This window comes from Homo sapiens, chromosome 2 (assembly GCF_000001405.40).
Source record: "Homo sapiens chromosome 2, GRCh38.p14 Primary Assembly".
Taxonomy (NCBI): Eukaryota; Metazoa; Chordata; class Mammalia; order Primates; family Hominidae; genus Homo; species Homo sapiens.
Window position 1 is genome coordinate 32,508,670 of NC_000002.12, and position 20,085 is coordinate 32,528,754.

Below are 20,085 nucleotides of genomic sequence, written 5' to 3' on the forward strand. Positions count from 1 at the left end.
AGGATTATGTCTGAACCAAACTAACAAGGACCCAAATATATTTTTTAATCAACATTTTTCTGATAAATTTTGACAGCTGGATGTTTTATAGATGGATTTTATTGAAAGTTCTGCCTGATAAAAATGAATTTAAGGCCTGGCTCAGTGGCTCACACCTGTAATCCCAGCACTTGGGGAGGCCAAGGCGGGCGGATCACGAGGTCAGGAGATCGAAACCATCCTAGCTAACAGGGCGAAACCCCATCACTACTAAAAATACAAAAAATTAGCCGGGCATGGCGGTGTGCTGCTTGGGAGGCTGAGGCAGGAGAATCGCTTGGACCCAGGAGGTGGAGGTTGCAGTGAGCCACGATTCCACCACTGCACTCCAGCCTGGGTGAGAGTGAACTCTGTCTTTAAAAAAAAAAAAGAATTTAGGATTTCTATTTTCAAGGTGCTAAGACTACACAGTTTTAGAAGTCTATGATAGTAATCAGTTTATCAGTATATATAATTGCATGTAAAAGAAAGTTTCTGGATGATTGCCTAAAAAAGCAAACCCATGGTGTCTAAGTGCTATGAATACAAGTACTTTTGTATGTGATTTATCTTTCTGTTTGTTTTGAGACAGAGTCTCACCCTGTCGCCCAGGATGGAGTGCAGTGGTGCAGTCTAGACTCACTGCAACTTCTGCCTCCCGAGTTCAAATGATTCTCCTGCCCCACCTTCCCAAGTAGCTGGGATTACAGGCGCCCACCACCATGCCCAACTAATCTTTGTATTTTTAGTAGATAAGGGGTTTCACCAAGTTGGCCAGGATGGTCTCGAACTCCTGACCTTGTCATCCACCTGCCTCGGCCTCCCAAAGTGCTGAGATTACAGGTGTTAGCCACCGTGCCTGGCCATGATTTATCTTATAGGGGAAACTTACTGTCTGTTTACTTAATTTGCAGCATTCTAAAAAAACATGTCTTAGATTGGTTAATGCTGTTTATGAAACACAACATGCTGATCTTTAAAAAGTTATGTTCTACCCCGAAGTGATTTGAGCGACTTATATTGATCATACAAGTCATTTTGTATTTTCAGTATTGGATGGTTACGGTTATTACATCATTGCCTTACTCACATAAGTGATCTAGAAGGAATGATGGCAAGTGCAGCTGCACCTACTGCTAATCTGCTGCAGACTTGTGCGGCCTTATTGATGTCACCTTACTGTGGAATGCATTCACCCAACATCGAGGTTGTGCTTGTAAAGATAGGACTGCAGTCTACTAGAATTGGCCTGAAGCTCATAGACATTCTCCTGAGAAATTGTGCAGCATCAGGCAGTGATCCTACAGGTGATAATTAACTTTGATATTTAAATGTTTACATATCTGTAAAGTAACAGCAGTTGAACTGTGCGATCTTCGTGCTTAACTCTGTTTTGGGAATTATTTTTTCTTTTAGTTTATGTTTATCTCTCCTCTCTTCTCTGATGGAGTCTCACTCTGTTGCCCAGGCTGGAGTGCAGTGGCGCAATCTTGGCTCACTACAACCTCCACCTCCCTAGTAGCTGGGATTACAGGCATCTGCCACCACACCCGGCTAATTTTTGTATTTTTAGTAGAGATGGGGTTTCTCCATATTGATCAGGCTGGTTTTGAACTCCTGACCTCAGGTGATCCACCCACCTTGGCCTCCCAGAGTGCTGGGATTACACGTGTGAACCACTGCACCCAGCCTAGTTTCATTATTTTTAGAGTTTGTTCTGTGTTGTTGGAATTTATGGAAGCCTCATTTTTAATGAATAACTTAATTCAATTAAGTAAATCTTCCCATGGTTAACTTGCTTATTTAGCAAACTTTTTCTTTGGATTCTTTGTTGCAAGATTTGAATAGTCCTTTACTTTTTGGAAGACTAAATGGACTCTCTTCTGACTCTACGATAGATATTCTTTACCAGCTTGGAACAACTCAGGATCCTGGTACAAAAGACAGGTACGATTTTATTTTTCATTTAATTAAGCACACACATGCACATAATCATGCTATAGTAAATGTTTCTGACAGTTTTTCCTTAGATGATCTCATAAAAGACAATACTGTGATATATTGTATGTTTACCATATGCCTCACACGATGTAACTTCTGCAAGTATTCATGAACATTAGACATACATTTGTATGTGTTTGGACATACTTTAAGCAAATTTGAACTTAAATAGAATTCTTTGTTAATACTGCTTTTGAGGAATGGAATAAAACATATATTTTTAAGTTGGCTACGTGTGAAAGGAACCTTGTAAAGTGATGGTATCAGAGTCATACTGTCTTAGGTAGTACTTTATATGTGTATATGAATGTAGGGATATTGTGTCTGTAGTTGGTACTTCAACTGTTTTTATAATGGTTCTGTTTATTTATTATTGATTATCGTATTCATCGAAATCTTTTCATGACTTTCTGCACCCTTTCCTGCTGTTTACAGAATGAAACAATATCATAACATGTAAATGACATTTGAACACATTGGCTAAATATTTAGTGATTTTTTTCTTTTCTTTTCTTTTTTTTTTTTTTTTTTTTTTTTTTTACATTTAGGTAATTTTAATGAGTTGTCCTAATGTCATTCTACCTTGATGTCTTCTACTTCCAAATTGATACCAACTTGAATTTTTGTTTGTTTTGTTTTGAGATGGAGTCTTGCTCTGTTGCCCAGGCTGGAGCGCAGTGGTGCAATCTTGGCTCACTGCAAGCTCCACCTTCTGGGTTCATGCCATTCTTCTGCCTCAGCCTCCTGAGTAGCTGGGTCTACAGGCGACCACCACTATAACTGACTAATTTTTTTTTTTTTTTTTTTTTTTTTTTGTATTTTTAGTAGAGACGGGGCTTTACCGTGTTAGTCAGGATGGTCTCAATCTCCTGACCTCATGATCCGCCCACCTCAGGCCTCCCAAGTGCTGGGATTACAGGCATGAGCCACCGCACCCGGCCAACTTGAAGTAGTTTTGAAACATATTTTTGTTGATAAATTTTTGAGCAAATATTTGGCATTCTCTGTTTTTATGTGTAGCATCCATATTAGAAAAACAGAGAGATTTCTTCCTGATTTATGTTACTTTTTAATATTTTGATTAATTATGTTTAAAATGAAGTCATTTGATGTTTTATTAATATCTTTATAAATTATTAAAATTATGGATTACATTTAAACATAGATTGCAATTGTTTTTGATGAAGTGAATAACAATTTGTGCCAAATTTGAATCATAATCGTTAGTAGTGGTTAAAATATATTTAAAATATCAGTGTTAAATATTTTTCCAGAACAGGTTGCTTGAAATCTGTTAGGATTATTTAATTTTTAAATATTGTTGTGGCTTTTTAATAAGAAGAAAATTAAGCTTAATTCATTTTCTCTGCATAGTACTTTTTAAAACATGAATGTTTGTTATATAAAACTGACATTAATGACAAGGTTGTTAGACTGAGAAAAATGTCTTCCTTGTCTTCTGAATTCTCTTTATTCCCCATCATGTGAAATTGAAAGTCTTATCTTTCAGAATTAGTATTATATACCTTCCTATCCCTGTTTCTTTTAGTGTGAAGCCAAGAATCTTATATTCTGAAATAGAAATTGAAGGAAAATAAACAAAATGTAAACACAGTGTTTTAAGAACTTGAGAAATCTAAAAGTCTTTCGCTCCCAGGTTGTGGTTCAAAATTGGGTGTGTTTTACTGGTTCCCAACTCCAGGAGATTGGGATTAGTGGGGTTAGTTGACCTATAATCTTGTTATTAATGTTAGTTCTAAATGACAGATACCTGTATTTTTAAAAGTACTATGCAGAGAAAATAAATTAAGCTTAATTTCCATCTTATAAAAATTATACTTAAAAAAAATATGTAAGTGTTGAGAGTGTATTCTGTTGTCAGAATGAATGAGTGTGGGTGGCTATTACTAGTATTTAATGCTAGGGTCCAGGGATGTGAAACGTGCTGTATTTCATGAGACTTTGCACAATGAAGAATTAGTCCCAGATCACTGTTCTAGTATGTTATCTCAAACCTTTTGATGGTTGAAATTGGTAAGGTTATTGGAAAATTGGAACTGGAACTAGTATGTCTTTGTTGCCGAGAGATTTCCTTTTTTTCCTATTTTAGATTAAAATAATCAAAAACAATTAGTGCATTATTCTCATAAATACCCTACTCACCATGCAGAGATGGTATTTATCTATATGAAATGCCAATTGCACTATATAGTTGGTTATATGAATTCGTTTTCTTCGTTTAAGAATTCAGGCCTTGTTAAAATGGGTTAGTGATTCTGCAAGAGTGGCTGCTATGAAGAGAAGTGGCAGGATGAACTACATGTGTCCTAACTCCTCAACAGTAGAGTATGGTCTTCTGATGCCATCTCCTTCTCATTTGCACTGTGTAGCAGCCATTCTGTGGCATAGTTATGAGCTGCTTGTAGAATATGACTTACCAGCACTCCTGGACCAAGAGCTCTTTGAGTAAGTATGATTTGTGAAATCTTTTTTATCCCCCAGTACTAGATCAGTTAGTGTTCACTTGATAAAACAAAATATTTTACATGTTTATTAGGAGAAACATAATATTTTGAAAGTAGCAAATATAATCAAGTATACTTTTGAAATGAATTGTCAAATATTAATTTATCTTTGTGTTTTAAGAAGATATGTTAGCAGTACTGCCTTCTTTTTTTTAACCTAAAATTATGCTTAATGTAGATGTTGCTGTGGTTCATAGTGTTTATTCTCAGTTGCAAATTTTCCCACCAGATTATCTTTAATGTACAACTCTGGCAGGATAGTACAGCTAGACAACTTTGGGGGTGGGCATGGTGGCTCACACCTGTAATCCCAGCACTTTGGAGGCCGAGGTGGGAAGATCGCTTGAGTCAGGAGTTCAAGACCAGCTTGGGCAACATGCAAAACGTTGTCTGTACAAAAATGCAGAAGTCAGAAAGCTGGGCACAGTGGCTCATGCCTGTAATCCCAGCACTTTGGGAGGCCGAGGTGGGCAGATCACGAGGTCAGGAGTTCGAGACCAGCCTGGCCAACATGGTGAAACCCCGTCTCTACTAAAAATAGAAAAACTAGCCCGGCGTGGTGGCGCGTGTCTGTAATCCCAGTTACTTGGGAGGCTGAGGCAGGAGGATCACTTGAACCTGGGAGGTGGAGGTTGCAGTGTGCTAAGATTGCACCATTGAACTCAAGCCTGGGCGACAAGAGCAAGACTCTGTCTCAAAAAAAAAAAGTCAGCCGGACACGGTGGTATGCACCTGTCGTTCCAGCTACTTGGGAGGCTGAGGCGCAAGAATTGTTTGAGTCTGCAGAAGTTCGCCATGCTGCCTCACGCCACTGTACCCCAGCCTGGGCAACAGAGCGAGACTCTGTCTCAAAAAAAATAACTTTGGGGAGCTGAGATGGGAGGATCACTTGAAACGAGGCGTTTAATGCCAGACTGGCTAAAATAGAGAGACCAAATCTCTACAAAAAAATTAAAAATTAGCCAGGCATGGTGGCATGTTCCTCTATCCCTAACTACTTGGGACGCTGAGGTGGGAGGATCACTTGAACCCAGGAGTTAGAGCCCACACTGACCTATGATGATGGCACCACTGGCACTGCAGCCAGGGCAACAGAGCAAGACGTCATCTCAAAAAAGAACAAAAATGTAAAGCTAGAAAATTTGAGACTTTTCTAGATTGTCCTTTTGACAAGTAGTTTTTATTTACCCACATTTCTTCACCATATTTAGCTAAGTCTTTGCTGAACTTACTGATAGCTAACTATTAAGTCTGCAGCAGAATACATTTTTGAAGAGTTCCTGTAACACATAAAAAGTAGGCCTATTGTTCTCTGGTAGGTCATCATATTTGGCCTTAGCGATTGGCATAATCCATGACTTAATTACTGAGCCTCACTGGTAGTTTTTTATTTGCAAACATGAATTTAAGCCATTTGTCATGTGGAATTTAACGTAAACATTTGTTTGGCATGATTTTTTTGTTTGTTTGTTTCTCTACATGACCTTTTCAGGTCACACAGAATGATAGAACCATTTTAAAATAATTTACTTGATTTTCTGTACTCATTGACAAGTCTAACTCAACTTGCATTGTACCTACATTCTTCAATTTTAAATATATATATGTGTGTCTATATATATATATATGCAGTCTTAAATCTTACAATGTTTTATTATTCAATGTCAAATAAAGTATATAATGTCAGAGTATACTTTGAACTATAACAGAAATATTTGAAATAGTTTCTTCTAAAAATATACTTGTATCATTAATATGATATCTTTTATTTTTTAGGTTACTTTTTAATTGGTCCATGTCTCTTCCCTGCAATATGGTTTTGAAGAAAGCTGTTGACAGTCTACTTTGCTCAATGTGTCACGTACACCCAAACTATTTTTCTTTGCTCATGGGCTGGATGGGAATTACCCCTCCTCCAGTGCAATGTCATCATAGACTGTCCATGACAGATGATAGCAAAAAGCAGGATCTTAGTTCATCTTTAACAGATGACTCTAAAAATGCACAAGCACCTCTCGCATTAACTGAATCACATTTGGCTACCCTTGCTTCCTCTTCTCAATCTCCTGAAGCTATTAAACAATTACTAGACTCAGGTTTGCCTTCTCTTCTTGTGAGGAGTCTGGCTAGTTTCTGCTTTAGCCACATTTCTAGCTCAGAAAGCATTGCCCAGTCAATAGATATTTCCCAGGACAAACTCAGGCGCCATCATGTCCCACAACAATGTAATAAGATGCCTATCACAGCCGACCTAGTTGCTCCTATTCTTAGGTTTTTGACAGAAGTTGGCAATAGCCATATTATGAAAGATTGGCTTGGTGGTTCTGAAGTCAATCCACTATGGACAGCACTTCTGTTTTTATTGTGTCACTCTGGGTCCACTTCTGGAAGCCATAATTTAGGTGCACAACAGACCAGTGCAAGATCAGCTTCTCTTTCTTCAGCTGCTACAACAGGACTGACTACTCAACAGCGCACAGCAATTGAGAATGCAACTGTTGCGTTCTTTCTACAGTGCATTTCATGCCATCCTAATAATCAAAAGCTGATGGCACAGGTAAGACAAAAAAATAACTTACATTTTAGTTGTTTTATTACATAAGAAAGGGCCATGTATAAAGGCCAGGTAATAATAAATTTAGTGAGGGTTGAGTGCCTTTAAGGATCTGAATTTAAGCTATAAAGTACTGATATCTCCTTTCTCCCCCTCAAAATATGCTGTCACTGGAATCACTTATTCTTTATGATGAGATGACTAGCAGATGCATTGGGATGCTAGCTAGATCATACAACCCTTATTTTCAAAAATTTCTACAAACAAAAAGAAAAAGCCCAAAAAAACATTTCAGCTGCTGGAACAGTATGGACACTGATCACTGAGTACTGTATGTGCCTTGAGGCATTGTGTTTTTGTGTAACGAGATTGCCATACTGATAGTTTGCTTCTCTTTACATGGGCATTAGATTAGGTTTCAGATAGGAGACTCCACATAAATCACATACAAAATGTGGAAGATAGGCTGGTTGTGGTGGCTCATGCCTGTAATCCCAGCACTTTGGGAGGCTGAGGCGGGCAGATTGCCTGAGGTCAGGAGTTCAAGACCAGTCTGGCCAACATGGTGAAACCCCATCTCTCCTAAAAATACAAAAAAATTAGCCGAGTGTGGTGGCATGTGCCTGGAATCCCAGCTACTCGGGAGGCTGAGGCAGGGGAATTGCTTGAATCAGAGAGGTGGAGGTTGCAGTGAGCTGAAATCTTACTACTGCACTCCAGCCTGGGCGACAAAGCGAGACTCTGTCTCAAAAAAAAAAAAAAAAAATGTGGAAGATAATTTATCATACTGCACTCCAGTCTGGGTGACAGAGTGAGACTCCATCTCAAAAAAAAAAAAAGTGGAAGATAATTTATCATATATTATGATTATCATAATAAGCTGGGTGTGGTGGATTGTCATATATTATGATAATCATAATTTATTATTTATCATAATAAATTAAATCCTGAAAGGTAGAATTATTTCAAGAGTAATTCTAGTTGGCTTTTTGCCAAATTTTGCTTTTGGTTACCTCACGTGACCTTGGGCATATTGGTTAATCTTATAACATGGGGCTAGCAATACCTGCCTCAAGGATTTTTTGAGACAGTTAAATATTTTAATTTGTGTAACATACCTAGCATAGAGCCTATATGAGATATGGTAGACACTAGTAAATAACTTTTCTCCTTGTTATTTAATAGTGCTCATTCAAGTCAAACTTTAGTAGTACCTAGAAAAATAGATAATATAATTTTTATAAAATATTGAAGGAGTTAGTTTTATTAAGAAGAAGGGCAGGTCGGGTGCTGTGGCTTATACCTATAATCCCAGCTCTTTGGGAAGCCAAGGCGGGTGGAACACTTGAGCTTAGAAGTTTGAGGCCAGTTTTGACAACATGGCAAAACCTCCTGTCTACCAAAAAAAGAAATCATAACCAAAATTAGCCGGGCATGGTGATACGTGCCTTTGGTCTCAGCTACTCAGGAGGCTTGAGGTGGGAGGATCACTTGAGCCTAGGAGGTTGAGGCTGTAGTGAGCTGAGATCACACCACTGCCCTCCATCCTGGGCGACAGAGCGAGACCCTGTCTCAACAAAAACCTAAACAAAACAGAGGAAGAAGAGAAAGATATTTAACTGCCTGTAGTAATTAATTACTGGGAAAATATCTCTGCTAAATATGCATTAAAAGGAAATGCTTAAATTACCAACTTCACCCGAGGGCATGATTCTAGGTATTTGAAAATTTGGTTTGTGCTTCTGGGTAGCATGAACTCTTTGTGTCCCATTGATTTCTCTCTTGGTTTCTTAGTAAGGCTTTATATACATTTTGGGGGTGAGGTGGGGCAGGATCTCTCTCTGTTGCCCAGGCCTGTAGTGCAGTTGCACAATCAGTGAGCCGTGGCTCACTGAAACTTTCGGGCTCAAGAAGTCCTGCCTCAGCCTCCCAAGTAGCTGGGACTACTGGCACATGCCACCATGCCCAGCTTATTTTTTTTTGGTTGGGGGAGTGGGTAGAGACAGGTTTCACCACGTTGCCTAGGCTGGTCTGGAATTCCTGGGCTCAAATGATCTCTTCTCTTAGTTTCCCAAAGTTCTGAGATTATCAGCATGACCTTGGCCTTGTTATATATTTTTAATATGCTTTTTCTCATAATTTTTATTTTAAGATAACCACACCAATATTGACTAAAGTTAACGGGAGTTCGTTATGCTAGGTATTCATTATGTGCAAACCGTTTAGTACTAATTTTTTCTAACCCTGGACACGTTTCTTACACTTTTATCTCCTTTGGTATTCATATATTTTAAGATAAAATCATTTCTTTCCTCCTTAAAAAAAAAAAACTTAACTACTAGACCCCCAGAGACATTTGTTCTTTAGCTACTGATTTGATATGTTAAAATAAACTTATTCATATTTTCTGTTTCCTTTTTATCTTTCAAAATAAAAAGCTGCATATAAATCTTGCATTTAACTTTTTAAATATTTTGTCTTGCCAGGTTCTTTGTGAACTATTTCAGACATCTCCTCAAAGAGGGAACCTTCCAACATCTGGGAACATTTCAGGGTTTATACGAAGATTATTTTTACAGTTGATGCTGGAAGATGAGAAAGTGACAATGTTTCTTCAGTCTCCATGTCCAGTGAGTATTTAACACTTAATCATTGGCTGTGTATACATGTATTTTACAATTTTGTATCAGAGCCTGCAGTTACCTCCTATGTTCTAACTTCGAGTATAGCAAAGTGAAACTAGCACAGCCTTTATACCTAATGACAGAACTTGACAATTTCAGGATAGCGCTCTCCCTCATGCCTAGGAATAACATAATTTTACCTTAGCCTGAGAAGTATAGTTTGATTTGTGGAAAAAAATGAAAAAAGGTACAGAGTGATAATGCAAAAGTTGACCAACAAATCATGGCAACTATGCCATATCTAAATTAATTATATCTTGTAGGATTTATTGAGTATTTTATTCTTAGATGCTTTTGAGATTATTTTATAACAATATGTATTCCAAAAAGTTACTTCCTGATTTCTTTGATTTCTTGATTTTCAGCTGTACAAAGGTAGAATTAATGCTACTAGCCACGTCATCCAGCATCCAATGTATGGAGCAGGCCACAAATTCCGTACTCTTCATTTGCCAGTCTCAACAACATTATCAGATGTTCTTGACAGAGTGTCAGGCAAGTCAGATTTAAGTATTAGTTTTTGTTTAACTTTATGTTTGATGTATATGGAGGTTTATTGTTTTTATAACTTTATTTTCTGCATCCACTTTGCAACCATTGATGACTAGGAAAGTTCAAGACATCTTTATAGTTTGAAGCATAAGAAGCCAGTCAAGTGGACAAAATGTAAAATACTTTTAGGCACCCCTAATTTTTTGGTTTATTGTGTCACAGTGAGAAATGGGCAGCTAGAAATACAGACAAATAATTGATGGCATGTTCTCACAATAAACCATCTGGTCATTTTATACTAGATTAATTGCAGGATATTTGGTTGAATAGCAAGATTCTAATTAATACACATTTACTAAATTGAAGGTGGTGATCAGTGATCAAGACATAAATGGAGTAGGTAGAATTGACTGGTCACCTCATTGTTTATCGTAGTCAGTGAAGAAAGCAGACAGAACATTTTCCCCTAGGTTCTTGCCTGTATTTTATAGGATGATACCTTTAAACAACATATGGGATAGTTTTTTAAAAAGCAGTTTTTGATGGCAAAGGCATATCAACTTTTTATTTTATTTATTTATTTAATTTTGAGAGGGGGGTCTCACTCTGTCACCCAGGCTGAAGTGCAGTGGAACGATCTTGGCTCACCACAACCTGTGCCTCCCATGTTCAAGCAATTCTCCTGCCTCAGCCTCCTGAGTAGCTGGCATTACAGGCATGTGCCACCATGCCCAGCTAATTTTTTCATTTGTTTAGTAGAGACTGATTTTCACCATGTTGGCCAGGCTGGTCTCGAACTCCTGACCTCAAGTGATCCGCCCACCTCGGCCTCCCAAATTGCTGGGATTACAGGTGTGAGCTACCGCGCCTGGCCCATATCAACTTTAGATAGTTGGAGTGTATTGCCACTGTGAAATTCTGGTTAATCAGTGAGTGAACTTGCTGAGCATCTGCAAAGTGCAATCACTATAATTTGTCCTAAGATTATAAACATGAGCAAGACACACATTCCACCTCACAAGATAGTTGTGATCTTATGTCTGTTGTCAACTTCTAAAATAAACTAGAAATGTCTGTTTGCATTATAACATGAATATAAGTAGATATATTTCTATCTGTATACATAAGAAGGGACCTAAGTTTTTAATGGAAGCTGTGAACTGAAGCAAGAATAGGAGTATCTAAGAAAAAAGTTGGAAATGTCTATCAGTTAAAAATACAAATCTAAAGCCCAGAGTAAAAGAGAGAGTTAAAGAGATTTGGGAGTTGTTACCACACATAGATGGTAAGTGAAACCATGTGAATGGATATAATCATTATAGGTAGGAAAGATTGTTTTCTGCTTCACAATCGCTGTGTCTAATATGCATGTGCATAAAATCGTAATTCTTTCCTACCGTTTTACAACTTATACAATAGGTTGTTAGCATACTGTTATAAATATTAAAAAAAATTTATTTGAAAATGACTGCCTTATCTGTTACAGAGAAACTTTTTTGAAAATTTGATGTTAGACAGTATTTTCTATCAGTTTCCTGAAATTGTCCATTCTACATGATGAAGAAAAATGAAAATTAAAAAGTAAATAAATGGGCCAGGCTTGTTGGCTCACACCTGTAATCCCAGCACTTTGCGAGGCCAAGGCAGGTGGATCACCTCAGGTCAGGAGTTTCAGACCAGCCCTGCCAAGATGGGGAAACACATGTCTACTAAAAATACAAAAATTAGTTGGGTATGATAGCGTGCACCTGTAGTCCCACCTATCTGGGGGACTGAGGTAGGAAAATCACTTGAACCCTAGAGGTGGAGGTTACGGTGAGCCGAGATTGCGCCACTGCACTCCAGCCTGGACGACAGAGCGAGACTCTCTCAAAACACATACAAACAAAATTAAATAAATGAAGAAAGTGGGGAGGAGCACTGAAGCTCAGTTATTGATATTGATATTTCATATGTTTAACTTGAAGTGCAAAAGTAGACATTCTAATACAAAATAACTGAAAATTGAACATTTTAATTAGTCTTTACTGTGGAAGAATGCTATTCTAAAACATTCTAGCATTCAAAATATTTTACAAAATAGTTTTCTGTATTGCATAAAAATAAAAGCTAATCGCTTTGGAAGTACACGACCTCAAAAGTTATATGTGCTGAATGTAACCTACTTAGCGATTTTTTTTGGTTCTTTAAAGTGGATTTATACTCTTTAGCCATATTTTCTGATATATTTACTTGTACGTTTATATTAGATCAACATGTATAAGAATAAGTAATTCAGAAGTATTGCCTCAGTAAATTTACCTGCTATCTGTAGCTTTTGACAGTATACTTTCTTTTTTTTTGTTTGAGATGGAGTCTTTCTCTGCATTACTTGAGCCCATGAGTTCCAGACCACCTGGGCAACATAGCAAGACCTCATCTCAAAAAAAAAAAAAAAAAAAAAAAAAAAAGCAAAGACAACAAGAGAATATTAAAACTGGCCAAAAAGGAAGTGACCTATTATTTTTTCTCTCTCTCTGTTTTTTTTGTTTTTTGTTTTTTGTTTTGAGACGGAGTCTCACTCTGTCCCCCAGGCTGTGCAGTGGCGCGATCTCGGCTCACTGCAACCTCTGCCTCCCAGGTTCAAGCAATTCTCCTGCCTCAGTCTGCAGAGTAGCTGGGATTATAGGCACGCGCCACCACACTCGGCTAATTTTTGTATTTTTTTTTTTTTTTTAGTAGAGATGGGGTTTTGTCATATTGGCCATGCTGATGTCGAACTCCTGACCTCAAGTGATCTGCCTTCCTCGGCCTCCCAAAGTGCTGAGATTACAGGCATGAGCCACCACATCAGGCCGACAATATTACTTTCAAATAATAACCTTTATGTGTCAGTCTGTTTGCTTTTACAAATTTCTGTCACTGGTTTTAAGCAGTATGATGATTGTGTGCCTTACAATTTTTTCTTCACATTTCTTATGATTAGAGTTTGTCGAGTTTCTTGAATCTGTGTGTTTTAGATTTCACTAAATTTCGAAATATTTTGGCAATTATTTCTTCAATAATTGCCTCCCCTTTTTTTATAATTACAGTTACTTATTAGGCTGTATGAAGTTGTTTGACACCCCAAATCTGTGTTTCCTCTTTTCCCCCCCATCATTTTTTTTCTCTATTTTTAAATTTTGGATAATTTCCTGTGTCTGATCTGTTAGACGTTTTATATCTCCTTGTCCTTACTTAAAGTGTATAGGTTTTCTTCAGCTTTCTTGAACATAGTAGTCTGTTTGTACTATTTTTCTCTTCCTTATGGATTGTATGTTCTCGCTTCTTTATTTGCCTGGAGAATTTTCTTGGATGCCAGACAATGTAAATTTTACTTTTTGGGGTGCTGAATATTTTGTATTCTAATATATATATTTTATTTTTTCATGAAATATAATGATATTATTTGAAAACAGTTTGTTGCTTTTAGACTTGCTTTTAATCTTTGTAAGTAGGATCAGAGCAGCTTTTAATCTAAGGCAAGACTTACTGTAATTATTGGTAATTTTTATAAACCAATGTTGTCTAGTTTGGTAACTGTTAAGCACATGAAATGAGACTAAGAAACTAAATTTTTAGATTGAATTTTTAATTTTAATGAATTTTACCTTTAAATATGTACCTCATTAGAATAGAATTAAGGTACCAGGTTTGAAAATGCAGTTCTAAATCCCATTTGACCCCACTATTAAGGCTCTGTCCTTATGAGTACTCTGTTAGGAATTCACTAGATGTCTAAGAGCACAAAGCATTTTATTCCCTGAAACCCTGGGGTTGCTTGCCCTGCTACTTTTCGATAGTACCTTTCCTGGCCTTCAGTGGTTTGCTCACATAGGTTCGTCAGTACATGTTGAAGTCTTGAAGACCCTGTATAGATCTCTGGAGATCCAGGGATCTCCAGATCTCTAGATGCAAATCTGCATAGATGCAAATATTTTCTTCCTGGATTTCCGGCTCTTACATCCTCAGTCTAGGGTGACAACTAGGTTGTGCTGAGCTGTGGCCTAGGAATTCTTTTCCAGACAGCTCACACAATCCTAGGGGTCACCTCATTGGTTTCCACTTACCCAGGCATCACTGCCCTGCCCTGCCTGATACTCAGTGTCTGAAAAGTATTGTTAATATATATTTCTAGTTAAGGTTATTTCACGTGGGAGATGAACCTGATCCTTATAATTCCAGAAGTGGAATTCTAAAACAGAGCAGCTTTTTGCATACGTTCAAGTACAGAGAAAAAAATAAAACAGAAATTTGTATTAAAAAATAAAAAAGTAAATTAATATTAGAAACCAGAGCATTTTTAAAAGGAAGTTGAGAAATTTTTTTTTAGTGTTTGAATGGCATTTATTCTTTATATTTACTTTTGAAATAAGGGTAATAAATGAAAATTGGCTAAACTTCTAATTGCACTAAGTAAATTATTACCTAATATTCTTTGTGTGCTTTTCTTACCTGATTATGCTATGAATTAATTTTGTGAATTTCTTATTATTTAAATGTTTCACTCTGACCTGTGTCAGTATGTTTGCCATTTTTAGTTGCTTGGTTGTTTTTGTTAGAAAGTAAAATGTATTGTTGCACCATGCATTTGTTATGTGTATAAAATTTTTTACTTCACAAAACTGTCTATAGGCAATTAGCAATTAGTATTAAGAAGTTGTATAAATTGAAATCACTTTCATATACTAAAAACTGTAAAATGAGAGTTATTACAAAAGATGTTGTTTATTGTTTTATTGTCTCAACCTTTTTAACATAAAAGACCGGGTCATAATTGTGCTAAATTAGGGAAGTAAAAAGAGAATTGAGCTAGATGCAGTGGCTCATGCCTGGAATCCTAGCACTTTAGTAGGCTGAGGCAGGCAGATGGCTTGAGCCCAGGATTTTGACAACAGTCTGCACAACATGGCGAAACCTCGTCTCTCCTAAAAATACAGAAATTCATGGCATGTGCCTGTGGTCTCAGTTACTTGTGAGGCTGAGGTGAGATGATCACTTGAGCCTGGGATGTTGAGGCTGCAGTGAACCGCGATTACACCACTGCACTCCAGCCTGGGCAACACAGCGAGACCTTATCTTAAAAAAAAAAAAAAGAGAATTGGAGACTTGATAACAGTTATATAGTGAAAAAAATTAAAATTTCAAATCAATTCATTCAGCCTTTAAATTTCTTAATAACTAAATCACATTATATGATCACCCATTTATTTTATAATTTTTAGTGGTGTGCTGTATGCCACAGTAATGAAAGGAATATTCAGAGTAATAACTATCTATGAGAGCCCTTAATACTCATTTTTTAAAGTAAAACACATTAAATTTTAAAACATATTACTTTGTTGTCTAAGATTCCTGTTTTTGTCCTAAATAAAAATTAACAGAACAGGAAATCTGTTACAGAAATTTGTTCTTTTATACTTTCATTTGTAATATAAGCAGAAGTCTAGTTTAATGCTATAGACTGAATCTTGAGCTTGAGTCCCATATTTGCCATATACAGATTATATCAGTAGCCTTTCTAAGGCTGTTTCTTCATTTTGAAAATAACATTCATTTCTATGTTGCGAGGACTGAATTAGATGCAGTTGCCAAGCACATTGAACTATGGCTAAAATAAAGCAAGTTTTCATGCTACTGGTTTTTCATTGTTTCTGGAGGTGGTACCATTAAAATACTGTATATAATACTTTACAGAGATTAGAACTTAAATATTCTGGCTTAAGTACAGTGGTGAGTCTTCCTCATCAATGTCAGTAAAGATTGGGTATCAGGCCTTTACCTCATGCCATTTCTCCTAAATTCCTTTATATTGCCTTAGTATTAAGGATAATATTATCTTGCATAATCTCCCTCTGAAACATATATTACTTCTCTTCTTAATGATTTGGAAAAGCAGTGTATTTTAGATAATATCTTCTTACAGATACTCCAAGTATCACAGCTAAATTAATTAGTGAACAAAAAGATGACAAAGAAAAGAAAAACCATGAAGAGAAAGAAAAAGTTAAAGCGGAAAATGGATTTCAAGACAATTACAGTGTTGTTGTTGCCTCTGGTATGCTTTCTATTTTTTATAATCTTGATTTTGTTTGGGTTTCTATAAAATATTAGAATTTTAGTTACAGGAAATTTATGTAATACATTGTACTAATATAAAAAGCTGACTCGTAATGATGTTTTAATACTAGATTTTTATCTTTTTATTTTTATTTTTTTTCACTTTCCACTAAATAGGTTGTCATCTGTATTTCAGAGATTATAGCAGCTAGCTACAGTTTTTACTTTTTAGGAAAATAGTTACAGATGCAATGCCAAAATTATTTATTTGTTGTCATGAAGGACGAATAGAATTGGGAGATTAGATATTGGATTAGAAGGAACATTTCTGTTTTCTGACATTAGCTAGGAATGCATGCCTTATTAAAATATTTTAGGAACACTGTTTTCCTTCATATTAGTGTGTTGACTATGTAGAATCTTACTGATCCTTTTCTTTTAGGGCTGAAGTCTCAATCTAAACGTGCTGTGTCAGCTACACCACCTCGCCCACCATCCAGGAGGGGGAGGACAATACCTGATAAAATAGGAAGTACTTCAGGAGCAGAGGCTGCCAACAAAATAATTACTGTCCCAGTGTTTCACCTGTTTCACAAACTCTTGGCAGGTAATATTCCTCAATGAATAAACGTCAAAGAAATTTTAGTAGCCTTAAAACTATGTAAATCAGAGGCACAGTCACCAAAATCATTTTAATCAGGTGCCATTGATGAGATCAGTGAGTTAGTGAGACTTCTTCCATACAGTTCCTCCGAAGAGAAGTGAGAGCAAAGGAGGAGTAATCTATTACGTATCCTTTTTAACACTATCAAGTTATTTATTTCTACTTTACTGGTTTTCTAAGTTTTTCTGTCAGTGTGCCATGAAATGATTGATGAAATAGACATTTAGAGAGTTCATGACAAGTTATTTAGGAAACACCGTGGGGCAAATTTGTAGGACTAGTTCAAGCAGTAGAACTCTTAGACCACTGGTAGTTAAGCCATATGTTCTTCCCAGATAAAACACATTTATTGAGCACCATCCTGTCTGTTGTTCAAGGTGATAACAGGTTGAGCATCCCTAATCCAAAAATTCAGTATCTGATACTTTTTGAGTGCTGGCATGACACAAGTGGAAAATTCCACATCCGACCTCATATGACGGTTACAGTCTAAACACAGGCACACAACACAGTTTTTTCAGTGTCCACAAGAGGAAAAAGATCTTCCAGCCCCCTTCAGATATTTTTTGAGCATGCCCGATTCCTCCCTACATATCCACAGTGGGTAACAAAACTGCAAATGTGCATGCCAGACGTGCCAACAGCAGGTTTCCCACGATGCCCCACATGATGCCAAGATGTGTGTGCATTACTGTGTTTTTTTGCTCTGTGGTGTTGGAAATTTAAAAAAGGCCCCAGATACCCTTATGGGTAACAATGATAAAAAGAGGAAGTATTTATGTTTATCTGTAGCACAGAAAAACAAGCTGTTGGAGAAACTGGACAGCAATGTAAGTGTGAAATGTCTTTCAAGAGAGTATGGTGTTGGAGTGACCACCATACATGACCTGAACAAACAGAAAGATAAACCATTGATGTTCTGTGCTGCAAGTGGTGAATAGAGGTTAATGAAAAATAGAAAAAGCACTCCATGAAGCTAAAAATGAAGATATTGATTGTGTATTGAAACAGTGAATCCATCAGTGTTGGCAGTGAACACGTGCCTCTTAATGGTATGCTGATCATGAAACAAGTAACGATCTATCATGATGAACTGAATGTTGAAAGGAGCTGTGAATATTCAACACACTGGTTGCAGAAGTTTAAGAGAAGATACGACATTACATTTTTAAAGATTTGTGGTGATAAAGCATCTGATGATCAGGAAGCAATGGAGAAGTTCATTGATAAATTTGCCAAAGTCATGGCTGATGAAAATCTGCCAGAACAGTTTATAATGCTGATGAAATATATCCCTGTTCTGGTGTTATTGTCTCAAAAAGACACTGGGCTACAGTTGATGGGACAGCCCCTCCAGGAATTAAGGATACCAAGGACAGAATAACTGTCCTGGGATGTGCTAATGCAACTGGCATACATAAGTACAAACATGCTCTGATAGGCAAAACCTTTCACACTTGTTGTTTTCAAGGAGTGAATTTCTTACCAGTCCATGGTTACTCTGACACAAAAGTATGGATCACCACAGACATCTTTTCTGATTGGTTTCATAAACACTTTGTACCAGTGGCTTGTATGTACTGCCCATAAGCTAGACTGGATGATGTAGGAGTTTGTTATTCCTTGATATCACCCAATTCATCCTCCAGCTAAAATTCTCAAAACTAATGTTTATGCCATGTACTTTCCCTCAGATGTGACTTCATTAATTCAGCCATGTGACCAGGGTATCTTTAGATCAATGAACAGAAAATATAAATCCACTTTCTTGAACAGCATGCTGGCAGCAGTGAACAGAGGCATGGGTGCAGAAAATTTTCAAAAGGAGTTTAGTATAAAGAATGCCATATATGTTGTTGCCAATACTTGGAACACAGTGACAAAGACACAGTTGTGCATGTCTGGCACAACCTCTGGCCTGCAACTGTGTTTAGTGATAATGATGAACTGTGTGTGTGTGACTTTGAAGGATTCTGTATGTCAAGTGAAAAAAAATGATGTCTGACCTCCTTACATATGTAAAAAATATACCTTCAGAGTTCAGCAGTAAGCTGGAAGAAGTAGATGTCAAAGAAGTTTTGAACTTTGATAATAATGCTTCAGTTATTCATTCATTGACTGGTGGTAAAATAGTCGAAATGGTTTTGAATCAGGGTTATGATAGTGATGAAGAAGGTCAAGATAACACCACAGAAAAGGTGCTTATAGAAGAAGACATGGTGAAAATGTATGGTGGGCATATTGAAGGATTACGGCAGCGTGCATTAACAACAGAATGAAAAACCATGTCAGTTTTTAAAATTGAAGAGAGACTTCTGAGCTAAAAACCATGTTAATGAGGCAGATGACTCCACAAGAACCATTTTTAAAAGCCTTCCAGCAGAATGTCTCTTCATCCCCCGTAGGATCCACTTCCTGGTCCCTCAGCTGCTTCTGATGTTTCTTCTTAACTAAAAAACACAGTTTATAGTAACCTTTGAATAAAAACACAGCATCATAGGTGAAGACTGAAAGCCTGCTGTTGTTTGTAGCTGCTTTTTCCTTTTTTTTTTTTTGAGACGTAGTTTCACTCTTGTTGCCCAGGCTGGAGTGCAATGGCGTGATCTCGGCTCACTGCAACCTCCGCCTCCTGGGTTCAAGCAGTTCTCCTGCCTCAGCCTCCCGAGTAGCTGGGATTACAGGCGACCACCACCACGCCTGGCTAATTTTTGTATATTTGATAGAGACGGGGTTTCACCATGTTGACCAGGCTGGTCTTGATCTTCTGGCCTTAGGTGATCCACTTGCCTTGGCCTCCCAAAGTGCTGGGATTGCAGGCATGAGCCACTACCCCCGGCTCTGTGGTTGGTTTTGTTTAATAGCTGAAACAGGTATCCTGGTGATGCTACTATGCTGCTTAGTTGTCCTGACACATTATTTTTTCAGTGTTAATGGTATGTCATATTTTTACTGTTAAGTACTTAATGTATGAATAAATGTAAGAAAACAATTGCCTATTGTTAGCATGTAGATTAAGAGTCAGGAATGATGACTCTTGTTGACATGGGTGGCTGAGATAGTGACACCTTT

The 20,085-nt window shown here is 37.2% G+C and overlaps 1 protein-coding gene across 50 annotated transcripts in view; it reads left to right on the top strand.

Annotated features, from left to right (window-relative positions):
- The window catches only part of BIRC6 (baculoviral IAP repeat containing 6), a 261,856-nt gene that overhangs the window by 151,647 nt on the left and 90,124 nt on the right, over window positions 1-20,085 (top strand). For 45 of the 50 annotated variants that reach the window (XM_005264451.5, XM_006712054.4, XM_047445160.1 and 42 more), the window contains 8 exons: window positions 1,069-1,325; window positions 1,857-1,965; window positions 4,264-4,485; window positions 6,321-7,101; window positions 9,585-9,728; window positions 10,148-10,277; window positions 16,219-16,350; window positions 16,795-16,959. In XM_005264451.5, coding sequence (XP_005264508.2) covers window positions 1,069-1,325; window positions 1,857-1,965; window positions 4,264-4,485; window positions 6,321-7,101; window positions 9,585-9,728; window positions 10,148-10,277; window positions 16,219-16,350; window positions 16,795-16,959 — 1,940 coding nt within the window. The remainder of the gene's footprint in view (window positions 1-1,068; window positions 1,326-1,856; window positions 1,966-4,263; window positions 4,486-6,320; window positions 7,102-9,584; window positions 9,729-10,147; window positions 10,278-16,218; window positions 16,351-16,794; window positions 16,960-20,085) is intronic. The other 5 variants (XM_006712055.4, XM_047445167.1, XM_017004556.2 and 2 more) reach the window with 1 other exon arrangement.